Source organism: Homo sapiens, chromosome 3 (genome assembly GCF_000001405.40).
Source record: "Homo sapiens chromosome 3, GRCh38.p14 Primary Assembly".
NCBI classification, from domain to species: Eukaryota; Metazoa; Chordata; class Mammalia; order Primates; family Hominidae; genus Homo; species Homo sapiens.
The window spans coordinates 52,836,504-52,850,694 of NC_000003.12; the positions used below are offsets into that span (position 1 = coordinate 52,836,504).

At 52.3% G+C, this 14,191-nt stretch overlaps 2 protein-coding genes and 1 non-coding gene across 3 annotated transcripts in view, besides 3 other annotated features; all 3 read right to left on the reverse strand.

The window, feature by feature from the left end:
* STIMATE-MUSTN1 (STIMATE-MUSTN1 readthrough) overlaps positions 1–14,191 on the reverse strand; it is a 64,428-nt gene that overhangs the window by 3,383 nt on the left and 46,854 nt on the right. The window contains exons 4-8 of the mRNA NM_001198974.3: positions 13,289–13,410; positions 8,326–8,438; positions 7,218–7,295; positions 6,308–6,457; positions 3,997–4,107 (exon numbers count right to left, since the gene is read on the reverse strand). Coding sequence (NP_001185903.2) covers positions 3,997–4,107; positions 6,308–6,457; positions 7,218–7,295; positions 8,326–8,438; positions 13,289–13,410 — 574 coding nt within the window. The remainder of the gene's footprint in view (positions 1–3,996; positions 4,108–6,307; positions 6,458–7,217; positions 7,296–8,325; positions 8,439–13,288; positions 13,411–14,191) is intronic.
* STIMATE (STIM activating enhancer) overlaps positions 230–14,191 on the reverse strand; it is a 60,816-nt gene continuing 46,854 nt past the window's right edge. Inside the window, exons 4-8 of the mRNA NM_198563.5 lie at positions 13,289–13,410; positions 8,326–8,438; positions 7,218–7,295; positions 6,308–6,457; positions 230–4,107 (exon numbers count right to left, since the gene is read on the reverse strand). Coding sequence (NP_940965.1) covers positions 3,991–4,107; positions 6,308–6,457; positions 7,218–7,295; positions 8,326–8,438; positions 13,289–13,410 — 580 coding nt within the window. The 3' untranslated portion in view covers positions 230–3,990. The remainder of the gene's footprint in view (positions 4,108–6,307; positions 6,458–7,217; positions 7,296–8,325; positions 8,439–13,288; positions 13,411–14,191) is intronic.
* Positions 947–1,116: an enhancer, noted in NCBI's record as "experimental_70612 CRE fragment used in MPRA reporter constructs". NCBI's record gives its function as "activates a minimal promoter by MPRAs in K562 erythroleukemia cells, with activity observed for both the introgressed and non-introgressed 3:52871551 variant alleles {active_cell/tissue: K562}" and the evidence as "EXISTENCE:reporter gene assay evidence [ECO:0000049][PMID:34662402]".
* Positions 3,300–3,801: an enhancer, noted in NCBI's record as "H3K4me1 hESC enhancer chr3:52873819-52874320 (GRCh37/hg19 assembly coordinates)". NCBI's record gives its function as "activates a minimal SCP1, AML or CMV promoter by ChIP-STARR-seq in primed H9 embryonic stem cells {active_cell/tissue: H9 hESC(primed)}" and the evidence as "EXISTENCE:reporter gene assay evidence [ECO:0000049][PMID:30033119]".
* Positions 7,982–8,482: an enhancer, noted in NCBI's record as "H3K27ac hESC enhancer chr3:52878501-52879001 (GRCh37/hg19 assembly coordinates)". NCBI's record gives its function as "activates a minimal SCP1, AML or CMV promoter by ChIP-STARR-seq in primed H9 embryonic stem cells {active_cell/tissue: H9 hESC(primed)}" and the evidence as "EXISTENCE:reporter gene assay evidence [ECO:0000049][PMID:30033119]".
* On the reverse strand, positions 9,960–10,049 carry MIR8064 (microRNA 8064). Its single transcript, NR_107031.1, has one exon. It is a non-coding gene; the product is annotated as a microRNA 8064 (primary transcript).

Consider the following 14,191-nt stretch of genomic DNA (forward strand, 5'->3'; position numbering starts at 1 on the left):
GGACTTGCTTTAATTCTCACTAGCGAAGAAGTGGAGATGGACATGGCAAGAGCATGTTTGGCTTTTCACTGGGCAGTTGCTGGCTCCCACTCCTGCCATGAGGCTTCGTAAGGTTCCTTCTCACTCTGGTCCCTGGGGAGAACCTTCTAATTCACAGGGGAATCTTTTTTGACCCTGCCAAGCTGTTTCAACTCCAGAGAACCCACAACCACAACCACAAATGTGATGGTTTCTTTTTAAAAAAAACTGTAATAAGATGCCAAACTTTATTGTAAACCATTTTACAATGTAAGTACATCATCTTCTCTTTCATTTCAAAAAAACGTTTCCATGAATCCTACCACCACCGATTAAGCACCCCCACTGGATGGCTGCTGAAGTGGGCCATGGTTTTCCTTGCATAGGTCTGACTTCTAACAAACTTCAGGAAAAGAAAAATCAAATTTAAAACAACCCAACCAACCAACCACCAACCAACCCAGGAGCTCAAGGTGCTTGTGGCAAGTCAGACCATAAGTCCCTTACCAAAAGCCAAGCCCCTCAGAGCTGCTAATGTTTCACGAAGTAAAACAGAGAGCTCTGCACTCTTAGCTGCAAGCGTGTGAAACTTCTAAAAGCCAGCCCCACATTCTACAAGGCAGCTGCTCTGGCCAGTGGGAAGCTCCTTGCACTGCCTATCTTAGCCTGGCTGCGAAAAGGCCAGTGAACTGCAAGGGCAGAGTGAGCTGCCAGCTGGGCGCTGCTCCCTCCAGGGTTCTGAGGCAGCCTTTGGACATAAACTTGGGGCTGCACCCTACAGGCTTACACTGTCTAAGGGAAGTCACAGCTTGGATTTGAGCCTTTTAATATTTTCCCTGAAGAAAGAGGCATGACAGGTGACATTAACCCATGACTCCCTGTTGCCAGGGAGGGCACAAGTTAAAGCTTGAGGAAGGAGGCCACCAGCACGGCTGAGGGGCCACAGACCCTCCTCTTGCATGTGTGCAAGCTGAGTGGACCAAGAAGCCACCACCACCTGGATCTCACTAACATCCCCCCTTGCCATTGTCAACAACCCTCTGACAGCAAAAGGAAGTAACAGTACCAACCACCTCTTCCATTTGGATATGACAGTTCTACCTCATTAGTTTATTTCCAATAGTTACAAGAAATTTGTTCATGACCTTGACTTGCAAGGTTCCACCACAGGTGGCTTGGCTGAGGTCCAGATTTGGACAAATCAGATTCATAGCACACAATATCCAGCCAACGTCCCACCATTTCTCAACACGGTGATGGATGCCATGTGGCCAGGTGAAGAGCTGCACCTCGTAAGGCACCTTGGAGCAGGTGGAGAGGAAACTCATCCCAGGGAGGGAGGGCAGCTCGGGAGGAAGTCCTGACCACAGCCCTCTGATCTGCTCTCATGGGATGGTGCACCACGGAAGAGCCCCCAGTGACTGCAGGAGGCACTCCTGGGGATACAGATTTGTGTGTGTACATGTGTGTGCACGTGCACGTGCACACACACACACAAACACACAAGAAAGGGAAGGCCAAACACGAGAGGTGTCCTATGGTCAGACACCCTATTAGACCCCCGTCCCCTGGTCAGCCAGCCAGCTACTAGCCACAGCTCAGAGACTAAAGCCCTTTCTGAAAATCAGGATACAGGGAAAAACCACCACTCTTCAGCTACCTCTTTGTTCCCCAAACCCTCTGCTCACTGGGAAGTGGGCAAAGCCTTCAGATGAGACCATCTGAGATCTATATAACCCAGGGTTTGTTTCACAGCTTTCATAGATTATGGCTCTCCTATCCCCTGCCCTGTCTGGAAACATTAGGAGCTCAAGACTGAACATGAAGCTCCAATTGTGAGCTCCAGGAAGGTGGAAGAAACAGCTGCAGGCACAGGTTGTTCAAACCAAAATGAAACAGGAGGGGAGGAATTAGAACTGAGTCAGTGATGCCATGAGGGAATGACCGTCCTGTCAGGAACATGAGTCTTGGTCTTCCTAAATTCGACTGAGAATGGCCTGGTTCTAGCCACTCTTCCCCACTAGAGAGCTGCTGGGGAAATACTGGCTACCATAGCTGTGGATGGGAGGGAGCACAAAGTCAATCCGAGCAGGAATGACACCAGCAAAGTTGCCTCCTACTGTAGTTACAGTCCCTGCTCCTCTCAGCACCCTGGCTCTGCACTCCTGGTGGAAGATGGGCTGAGAAGGCCTGCCTGATGCTCGCCTTCAAGTCCAGGACAGGTAGGGCTCTGAGAGGCAGAGGGCAGTCCCAGGGTACCTGGTTTAACAGCTGGGTTCATGCGCCCAATTCGGACCCAATGTGCTTAAGTGAAACACGTGCTCATGCAGGTCTAAAAGGAAGGTCCTAAGTGGAGTGGCCTCCTCTGCACTTGTCTCACTTGAAGTCCAGGATGTCTCCCTTCTAGCTCATCACACCTTAGCAGTGTGGCTTCCTGTTCCTAACCATCCGTGGCTGCCTCTGAGCTTGACAAACCACCAAGCAGTGCCCCTACCTTGCTGTTTCCACAGCAGGGAAACGGCTGGGGTCAGCCCATTCCACAGTCACTCAGCAAACTCCCAAAACCACAGGGGCCTGTGGCCATGCTGAGGAGTAGTGACCATTCCCCAGGGAGGGGACACGGCCTAGAAGCACCTTGCCCTGCCTGTGGTTTAGAGAGTGAGCTCTCTCACCCCTGCCTCCCTTAGCCACCTCAGCTTTGGAGGGTGAGAAAAACAGGATCACTTTGTGAGGCACATGTTCTCCAGAATGCTGTGCAAAACAAATAGGTGACACTAGGATGACAGGTACCAGGGCAGCAGGAGAGGAGGCTCCTGGCGCTGAGTCCAGAGGCTGGCTCTGAAGGCTGCAGCAGTGGGGGCTGGGAGGCCAAGACCACTTTAAACCGTGATTGGAGGCTCTGCAGACAGGCAGACTGCACAGGAGTCTGGTAGTCTTGGGTCCTCTGGAAACAAAGACCTCTTAGCTAAGCTCCTTTCTTGGTCAAATTTAACTAAGATCTCTAATCTGCCAGCAGGAATGCTAGAGCTCATGGGCCCTGGGCAGAGCCTTTCCTGTTCCACACTCTGCAGCTCCTGGATCTGCATCCAGACCAGCTGCTCCAAGCTTGGGTCTGACCTTCACAGAACCATTGGGTTTGCTGATTCTAGAGAAGGGCCATCCTCCTTCCCTCCCCATCATTTGTCTCATCTTATCATAGGGCATCATCTAATAATATTCCAAATAAAAAACTCCCGATTTTTCCTCCTGCCAGCCCACACCCCATGAAAGGCAAATAAACCCATTTCTTTGGGGACTAAAAAGAGTTTTTAAATACAATAGTATGAAAATATAACTTAAAAATATAAAAGTCAAACAGCATACGGAAGACTTAAAAATCTCTGTTTTGCCCATTAGTCCCGTAAGTACTTTGTAGGAAATAAACACATACCCCCAACCTGGTAACACTGTCACAACTCATAAAACCAGCTTCAGAAATCAATAGTTACAAAAGCCATTTTGAGTAAGAAAGCATTCCGGTTCCAACTTGGTCAACGAGTCACTTTTAGCCCGAGGGTGTTATGTGTTCGCACTGCCCACAGCCACGGTGAGGAGACCCACCCACGGTCTGTGTGCCTGTGCTTCCTTCCACCTTGCCACTCGGTGGTCGGACACGGGGCAGGGCCTCAGGTCCCTCACAACACTGTCTGGGACGACAACAAACAAACACAGCTCCTTCCTTGCATATTTGGTCAGTGTTTGTAGTGCAACTGAATGGGGACCTCCAGCCGCCAGTGGCCCCCTCGGGCGCTGGCTCCTCTTCCCTCTTTTTAAGTCACAGTAGTCTGGGGGCAGGCGAGAGCGGGCAGAGACAGCAAGAGGAGCAGAGGTAGAAAGGAAGGGCAGAGAGAGGGTAAGGAACGATGCTGCGGGATGACCTCTGCACACCAGCGGCTGGCGGGGCCCTCCCGTCACCCCCAGCATGGGAATGTGTCATACGGGTAGCCCAAAGCGGTGCTTCTTTTTCTTCACAGGCTTGAGGGGGGTCAGTCTGCGGAGGTCCTCCTCCACGTCGGACTCCTCCATCTCATCATCCGCTGAGATCAGGATCTGAGGCAGTAGAGAGGCAGGGCCTGAGTCACCCCCAGCAGGGCCTTCTTCATTTGCCCTCCCTGGACCCTGGGCCCTTCAAGTCTCATGTTTTTTTTTTTTTTTTTTGGACAGAGTCTCACCCTGTCACCCAGGCTAGAGTGCAATGGCACGATCTCGCCTCACTGCAACCTCTGCCTCCTGGGTTCGAGTGATTCTCCTGCCTCAGTCTCCTGAGTAGCTGATTACAGGTGCGTGGCACCATGCCTGGTTCGTTGTTTTTTTTTGCTACTTTTAGTAGACATGAGGTTTCACCATGTTGGCCAGGCTTGTCTCAAACTGCTGACCTCAAGTAATCCACCTGCTTCGGACTCCCAAAGTGCTGGGATTACAGGCGTGAGCCACCATGCCTTGCCAAGTCTTAATGTTTCTTTACAAGAGAGTGAGGGGAAGCTCCCTGTACTCAATGAGACGTGCTAGCCTCCACAGGCCATGTTCACTCCAAGGACACTCATGGGCTACTGAAGCCAGCACTGAGTCGACAGACCCCCTTCCTCTGCTAATGCTCCCCACTTCTCAGTCCACCTCCAGGGGAACCGACCTCCATCAGGACAAACTCAGCAGGGATCTGCAGCCTAAGGTCACCCTGGCTAAAAAAAGCTCAACCATGACACATGCAGTTGTTGAAGCTGCCTTAAATACTGCAGAGGCAGACTGAAAAGCCCCTTTCAAAAGGAAGAGAAAGCATCTGTGGGCAGGGGGAGTTCAGCGTGGCTGCTCTGAGCCAACTCTGTAACTGCTGAAGACAAACAGCGGCACTTTGCTGTTCTAAGGCCCTGGAATGACTCAGCCATGCAGCTGGGGCAAACACACTCATCCGCTGCCCGCCTGCCTGGCTCCTTAGACCTCTGAATACCAGGGAAAGGTTGGAACCACCTAGGTTGGGATCAGGAGGTCCAAAGCCCACCTATGCAGGGAAACACGAACTCCTATTCTAGGGCAGGGCAGGCAGTCTCACCTCCTCTTCCCTGCACTGTTCCCTTGCGGGGCTTCCTGCCTCTAGTCTCGGTCCCGACCACCACACTCCCACTGCTCCTCACCGCCTGTACGAGCACATCCCAATGCCTCAGCCTGGATCACAGGGCATTGCCGATCTAGCTCAGCCTGTGCCTCACTTCTTGTCCTTCTGTCCTATGCTCCAGAATACAAGCCACAGTGCATTTCACACTATGGCCCAGACACCAAACCATGTGACTGTGAATGCTCATGAGCTGCTGCTTCTGCCCATAACACTGTTTGCCACTCACCTAATGTTCACCAAGCTCTCATATGACAGGTGCTGGCCAGATTCTAGAGACAAGCACCTAGAGAAGACACGGCTTCCCCTCTGTCCTACTATCTATTCGTCTTCTGAAACTCCCTCCAGGCTGTCCCAGGGCCCTCGTTGGGTTCTGCCTATGCCTCAATCTTAGAACATATTACGGTGTCATGACGAAATACTTATGTGTCCACCTGCACCTCACCCACGTGTCTGACAGCCTCTCCGGGGAAGACGTTTGTCTCAGCTTTTCTGCAGCTCCCACCTGCACACTTCCTAGGCCTCCCATGCCTCCCACGAGCTGGCCCTGCACGCAGATGTGGGGTGAGTGCTGCGGGGCCGCCAGAACACATATCCTGGCCTCAGGGCTGCTATTCATGGCCACCGTTCTTCCCTGAGGTCCAAACCCTTGAACTCAGAAGACCAGAAAATAAGGGGGGGATGAGTTTCCTCCTGCAAGGTCTGGCTACCCCTATATTTTAGAAGTTTCCAGCTGTCTGAGCCAACACTTCCCTTGCTCTTTAGTGTTGGGCAGAGATTCAAATATCCTAATGCTTGAAGATCAACCATTAGGCCCATGACGGTCCTTGCCAGCTCACCAAACAAGGCAGAACTTCCCTCTCCTGTCTGTCATCTCCACTGACAGAGGAACTGTCGCAGGCAAGCCACTCCCATCTGCTCTGCCCTCCTGCCCTAGGCAGGCCCAAGGGACAGTGGGAATGGGTCCTGGCTGGACAGAGCTGTCTGCCCCTCGCTCATCTCTGGCTCAGCCTCTTCTCCTGCCCTCTGGCTCGCACTGTGACTCTGCACTCAAGGGAAGAACATACACAGACATGAGACCAGAGACCCCCTTGGGCCAGCGATACGACGGCTTGGGCCCTTGGAGAGTCAGGGAGGCCCTACCTCAGACTCAGACTCCTCGTGGGATGCGGCCCTCCGGTAGCGGACCTTGCTCCCATTCCTCGAGTCCTGGTTGGCTCCCCTTTCTTCTAGCTTAGCTTTCGTCTTCCCCTTTCTCATGAGGAAATTGTCCACTACCCAAAACATCAAAGCCTGTGGGAAGGAAAAGTGCAGGTTACTTTGGGATAAACCATTTTTCAAAGCAAAGCCGAACAGCCCCCATCCGCCCACTCCCATTCCAGGTTATAAGATCCAGAGCTATGGAAAGAAAAACCCAATCCAATCACCCTGCTCTCTCCCAAAGCTTAGAAAGAGATTCCCAGTCTCCACATCCTCGGGTTCAGTTTTCTGATCAGAGTGTGCAAGGAACGTGCCCTGACGGGTTTTTGTTGTGGTAACTAGGGGGAACAGCCTGTTTGGGGCCTGGAAGCAAGGTCTCTGGACACGCGTTCCAGGCCCCTCCCCACAGACTCCATGTGGGTGGCCGGCACACCCTGCTGTCATCTGTTTGTCCCAGCTTCCCTCACCACTTCTGTTTCTTAACTTCGAGCCATTGTGCTCGGGAGTTTCTCAAGATCCGTGGTCAGGAATGAACGATGGGTACGTTTGGAACAATCCTGAACTAGAGGCTGGCGCTACACATGGGTGGGGCTTCTTGGTGGGAGGCCCCTCGGCAGGGAGGACAAGACAAAGCTCCCAGGCCCCTCCATCCTGGACGGGAGCCCTGGTATGGGGCCCTGCCTTTTGAGGGGGTAATCCTGCCATTTCCAGGTCTGGGGGTGGGAGAGGTGGCAAATGGTCACGCAAAAAGACCTGAGGGCTACAGGTGAGCTTTCTGTCAGACTCAGAACTTTGGACAGGAACCCTGCCAGACAGGGAGCAAATCGGGATAAAAATGCAACATGGCACTGACGTTGACAAAGAAGGGGACGATCAGCATGACGATGGCCAGCTTCAAGTCTGGGTTTTCAATGGGATTCAACAGGGCCACCTGTAAAGAGAAGCAGACTCAGTGAGGTAGGGAGAGGCCACCGAGAGTGTGCCTGGGGTGGGTGGGTGGTACCCATAGGCCCTGAGGGAGCCTTAGCTTAAGACGCTTCCTCCAAAGCCCAATGGGAGCAGCACCTCATGCCTAGGGTTCCCAGATGAGACTGTCCACAAGGAACCCTTGGAGACCACATTAAGCATCTGGTGCTTTGGCAGCTTTCCCCTCAGTGTGGACTTGCAAAGTGCAGTGGGCTTACAGCCACCAAGCCAGGGCAAGGCAAGCAGTGCCCACCGGGAGAGTGGAGTGTGGGCTTCAGGGGGCTGGAGGGGTGAACACAGTGGATGCTCATTATAGACACCAGCAATGAGGCCCCAGACCACTTTCTAACAGAAATCCCACACCTCAACCACCCCTAAAAGACAACAGCACTGAAAAGCCTTGGCTTATTTTCTTAAATAAAATCCAAACACAAATAAAACCCAAAGGAGGCCAAGCTGAGCCACTTGTTCTCAAAGCTTCTGGCTGGTCTCATGTGGGCATTCGGGGATGAGGAGTGGGGGTTTATCTACACAGAACTGGGGTCAGAGGGCGGAAGCCACGGTTGGGGAGCCCGTGGGCTGGCCAGGGCATCGGCACACTGAAGGTCACAGACTGTGGAAGCTGCCCGTGGCACCACATGGCTCAGTTAAACTACCAGCCAAGAGAGGTGTGTGACAGGATGTTTGCCGATGTAGAAACATGTATTGTCGCAAGGCCTAAAAACCACCATCAGATGGTAGCAAGCCGAGGGCAGGGACTGTATTTCATTAGTTTTATACATCCCAAGGCTTCATCTAGAACAGACATTTAAAGTGGATGGATGCTAAGAATTGACAAGCTCTTTGGAGTAGTTGCCACATCAGACCAAATGCAGGACACATTCATAGAGTTAAAACAAGTTTGGTTTTCCTAGAGTTGGCGTATGTGGGTGATGGGGAGGAAGTGCTGCTTGCTCAGCGTGGCAAGGAGCTGCTCATGCAGGGACGAAGCAAACCTTTTTCCACTGAAGTATTAGGAGGACGATGAAGACGACAGACTTTTCAAAAATCATGATCACGATGTAAAGAGCGCACTGCCCGACCCAGGCTCCACACTGCAGAGGGTCTCCTGCAGGGACAGGCGGGTGCTTAGTCACATGGGGCCCAGGCATCTGAGTGAGATGATGTCCCCACCCCACTCCCCCACACGCACCCCAGAACACTGGCTCTAAAGCTCTAAAGGTACTTAATGAGCCCCCCCAAAAGTCCAAAGGATTACCTCATCCTTAACAGACAAATGCAGTATTTTAAATAAAATCAGAGAATTCCTTATTTGAAGATACTAAAATGGCCTTTCTTTTAAGAGATTCTAAGATAGGATTAAAAAGCACTAAAGTTAGGAAGTGCTCATTGCTGGAGCTCAGAAAAGCTGTTCTTTCTGCCGGCTGGCAGCAGAAGCTGTATGAAGCAAGACTGCTATTCTTATCCGTTGTTGATTTTTCCAGTGACAGCGGGGCTGCCCCTCCCTTCTCTGTCCATGAGTGGACTGATGTTTGTGGATGATGAAGCAGGACCCAGTCGCTTTGTTTGTCTCCCACCTCCCCACCTCCCATCCCTTACCCAACTCCCCGGGCCATCCCTGATACCTCAGCCTCTTGAGAGCAGAAACGTGACTCTGGAGGAATTTGGACTCTACCTGTCCAGCATGGGTCACCCCAAACACCTTGGCCAGGGACAAGGAAGTGAAGAGAGAAGTCCTTGGGGCAAGGAGGTGGGAGGGATGGGCCGGGGCCCAGGGCTGTGACAAAGGTCCATCTGGGACCCCTTCAGTCACCATGCTTGAGAAACCGAGGGACCTAGTAGTACAAGCTGGAGGATGTGCAGGCCTTGGAATGCCTCCAGGACATTTTGAACGGAGAGAAGACCAGCCCCTCCAGGGAATGATCCTGTGATATGAAGAACCCTAGGGTGGCTCCTGGGAGCCACATAGGCCTCCCCAAAGTGGGAGACCCAGGGGAGAGTGGGATGTGGGAAGGTTGCCTGGGGCTCACCCTGGAAGTTCTGCCAGAGCTGCCTTACCACAGCTGGCCAGAAGAGGGGGTACAGGGTAGCATTTTGGGGGTGGCGGGGGGGCGGGAGGCTGGGGGGTAAAGGCCGTAATCCAGGCTATGAGAAGATAATTTGGTCCAAAGAGATATCTCCAGCTTCTCACTTGGCTTTATTGTTTCTGCAGCAATCCCTGTTTGGGCACCCATGCTGGAGGCCCATGCCCTGCCCAAGCCTGTCAGCTGTACACAAGGGAATGACTTTATGCAGCTGCAATGGACAAAACACCAGGCCATTCCCTTTTCTGGAAAACCCTGGGAGAAGTGTGGCAGAAACACATCAGTCGCCTCTTCTGAGGTCTTCCTTTCTACTTTCACTTAAGGGATAGGAGACATTTGAGCCAAAAAACCCATTTCATAAGCATAATCCCTCCTTGCTAGGTTGTTAATGAGTTTTGCAATCCTTTTCCTTTCGGTAAGTCACCTAACCTTATCGAGAACAGTTCTCAAAACAACAGATGAACTTATTTGTGAGAAACCATTAAGTAATTAAGTAGGTTTGAGGACAGTTGGACAGAAAGCGCCACTAGGAAATCTCTCTGTGAGGACTGGAGTGTTTGGGAGCCAGCGGAGCGCGCGGCACCGCTTATTTACTATGGAAGGATGTCCGCTCGCTCAGTGTGCTCACTCCATCTGCTCTTCAGTTTTAAGTGACTGACAAGGAGGAAAATGCTTTTCCTCCCATACGCCTCACATTGCCCCAGTGTTCTAGGTTTCTGCTACACAACTTAGCTACAGCTGCCTCTTTAGATGCTAAAATAAGAAAGTTCAGAAACGTGAGAAAAGAGAAAAAGCACCTGTGACCCCGTCTGGCACACCATTTCCTCTGGGAACCCAGATCTCACGCAGCCACCGTTGGGAGAAGCACACGTGGCTGCTGTGTTTCCTGATTCCTGTTTCACTTGCGAGTCTTTCAGATGTCCCCCACAGTCTCCTCTTTAAAGGACAGACATGCCAGGCAGTGTTGCATGTCCTGCTTTGTCATTGCTGTTATTGTTTTCTTAGAGATGGGGTCTCACTCTGTCATTCAGACTAGAGTGCAGGGGCATGAACACGGCTTATTGTATCCTCAAACTCCTAGGCTTGAGTGATCCTCCTGCCTCAGCCTCCCAAGTACCTGGGACTAAGAATGCATGTCATGTGCCTGGCTAATTAAAAAAAATTTTTTTTTTTGTAGAGACGGGATCTTGCTTTGTTTCCAAGGCTGGTCTTAAGCTCCTGGGCTCAAGCGATCCTCCCCGCTTAAGCCTCCCAAAGTGCTGGGAATGACAGGTGTGAGCCACTGCACCTGGACCTTGTGTGTCTTGCTTTTTACTGCAATGAACAACCTCAGGCATGTGGGTGTTTTGTTTGGGTTTAATTATTTCCTCAGTAGAAGTCACAGCAATAGGGGCCAAAAGGAGGGAACACATCTGTGGCGAGAGGCTTTCAAAAGGGAGAGTTTGGCCAGGGATGGGCAGCAAGACCCATGAAGCACCGTGACCCAGATGTCAGGGCTTCCACATGGGAAAGAGTGGCCTGGTAATCAGAGTGCAGACACCATGCGTCACCTGGATCTGGTCTCAACCGCCGGGGCTGTGTGGCTTATTTCCCTGAGTCCCGCATTCTCATCAGCAAACTCTTGGCCTTCTCTTCTAGGAACAAAAGACACATCCTAGAAAAATAAGCCCCTCTTCTTCATTTACATGAGAAGAGAGCTGTGGTACCTCTTCCTCAAATGGATGGGCAGGATAACAGGTGTGGGAGGTGGAATAACAGCCCCACACAGTTGCCTACATCCAAATCCCTGGAACCTGTGAGTGTGTAGCATCACATAGCAAAGGGGAATTGAGGCTGCAAATGGAATTAAGGCTGCTAGTCAGCTGACTTTAAGACAGGGAGAGTGTTCTGAGTGTCCAGGTGGGGCCAATGTAATCACAAGGACACTTTAAAGTAGAAGGCTGCAGGAAGTCAGGGCAACTCGATGTGGGATAAACCCAGCGACTCTTGTTGGCTTGGACGACGGAAGGAGGGGCCGCGAGCCAAGGCTTACAGGCAGACTCTAGAGGCTGGAAAGGGCGAGAAAACAATCTTCCCAGAGGCTCCAGAAGCCAGCCCCATTGACACTGGGACTTTAGCCCAGTGAGACCCATGACAGACTTCTGAACAAAAAAAGATAATCAACTTGTGTTGTTTCAATTTGTGCCATGAAGTTTGTGGAAATCTGTTACAGTAGCAATAGAAAACAACAGAAATTGATGGAAATAGAAAACAACAGGTAACTGAGCAGACAAGCTATCCTTCCTCAGCCTGGGGAAGACTCAGGATGGTCCCCACAGCTTTATTTGGAGACATTCTGGCTTGAAGACTCTGGCTCCCAAAGGCAGTGGTGGGATGACCCAGGGGCAGGGGCTGAGGCAGGCCAAGAGATTGAGAAAGAGGCTGAAACAATATCACTGCCTTCTTCCTTTCCATCCACCCTTGGGGATGAAGACAAAATGTGAGGGAACAGCTGGTAGCGTTAATGCTTGATGTATCCGAACCAGACCTGATCTTCACTCCCAGGTCACTGAGTGGCACCTGACAGACTAGTGGTGACCAGTGGATTCACCTTAGCACTGGTCAGCTATAGTAGAGCTGGGAGCCACACCTTCTAGAAGGGATCTCAACTGCAAAGTAGTTGTGAGCACTGTTTGTGGGGGTGGTGGGAGGGTTTAGGTATCCTGGTGCAGCAGGCCCAGGCTCCCATAGCCATGCACTGGCTGGGTGAGCTTTGCGCGTCACTTAACTCCTTTGGGTGCCCATTCTATAAATGACGATGATGCTGTGCTGGTCCCCCGACTGTGGTCCATTTCTGTTCTGCAGCTGAGGACTCAATGACTCGCAGCTTCTCAGAAGCCTTCCCTGGAGCCATAGGAGGCACAAGCTGTGTGTTGGACACTATCTTAAGTCAGTGACTCATCAGGCATCAAGTACGGGGCTAAGAAAAGCCCTGCCCTGAGCTCATCTCCCCTCAACGGAGACAAACAATTACTTAACATTTCTGGAAATATCCAAGGTACTCATAGCCAGCTCCATGAATTGGCTCCCCTTTTAAACTGTCAGTGCCTTGTGAATCTTCAGCCATCTAGAAGTGAGTGGCCCTTGAGCCCACAGCCATGAGCTCTTTGGGAGGCATGACCAGGACAGGAGAGTGGGGATCCCGAATTCCATCCGCTCTCCCTCCCTCTTGTCCTCTGTGGCCCTCTCAAGGCAAAGGCTCCACTGATACTGATCCACCTGGAAGAGGAGCTTCTGTCTGCAGACACCTGGGGCCAGCTGTGAGGGTGGGAGAGAGCTGATGTTACCCCTAACTCTGTCCTGAAACCTCAGAGGGCAGTGAGGGCCTGAGGAAGGTGCCCTCCAGTACCAGCCGTGTGGAATGGCCTAGCAACAGGACAAGCACAGATGTGCAGCAGAAAGAGGGGCAGGGCTTGCCACCTCGTTATTGAACACCTTCGAAAAATGAGAGCTGCCCCATCTCTTTAACCTGGTAGGCAGGTGATGTGAGCTCTACAGGAAGCTTGGCAGAACGAAGAGTCCCTGCGGGCCTGTGTGTGGGACTGCTGGTGTCTTCCATTAGAAGGAGCAGACATTCAGCCCTCTCTCTGTGTCTAGTGTCTCCTGCCTCCTGCCACCTTCCCTGCCATAAGGTGAGGGCCTTGGTGGTAAAGCAGGCACCCACACCCACAGGAGGGTGTGCTCAAACCCAGAACAGCCCCCTCTACCACACAGAGAAGACAATGGCAGCTCCCCAGCCATTTCTGGATCTGTTTGCCTGGTGGGCCGCATGGGGCAAGGAGCAGAGACCTCCAGCAGTTCCCTCACGCCCTGTCCGGCATCCACAGCATATTACCATATTCGCCGAAGCGCAGGGACTCCCACTGCTGCCACTCTACCAGGACGCTGACGGCGCGCACCCCCACGTAGATGAGCAGCATGCCCACAGTGGCGTCCAGGAGGAAGTTGATGAGGTACCTGTGAGGACAGGGCACATGCATGGTCACGGCAGAAGCCACGGGGCCAGAGGTCATGGCTGATGCAGGGTGGCCTGAGGGAAGCGGATGGACCCAGCATTTGTTTGGGCCCATTCTGGGGGCTGGGAGCCCTCATGTGCCAGTGTAGCTGTCACTACCATGTGCTGAAGCTCATCAGGAGTGCGACCACCTGAGGGAGGTGAGTGAGGGACAAAGACACTTTAAAACTGCCAGTGCTGGCTGCGCGCGGTGGCTCACGCCTCTAATCCCAGCACTTTGGGAGGCCGAGGCGGGTGGATCACGAGGTCAGGAGATAGACACCACCCTGGCTAACACGGTGAAACCTGTCTCTACTGAAAATACAAAAAAATTAGCTGGGCGTGGTGGCGCGCACCTGTAGTCCCAGCTACTCGGGGGGCTGAGGCAGGGGAATCACTTGAACCCGGGAGGTGGAGGTTGCAGTGAGCTGAGATTGCACCACTGCACTCCAGCGTGGTGACACAGCAAGACTCTGTCTCAAAAAAACAAAACAAAACAAAAACCTGCCAGTGCTTCTGCCAGGCGAAGGTTCAATGGAAGACAGAGTACCTGGAAGCAGCCAGGGAAATCAACAGGAAACAGAACTTAACTGATGACAGAAACACCTAGGCAATGATTCTGCTCACTCCCTGACAGTCCAGCCCAGGAGGCCCAGAACAGTGCTGCTGCACCAGAGAGGTTCAGGAAAACAGCCTCTCGGGTTTCGCAGACAAAGAGGACAGGGCAACATGGCCTTCGCCCAT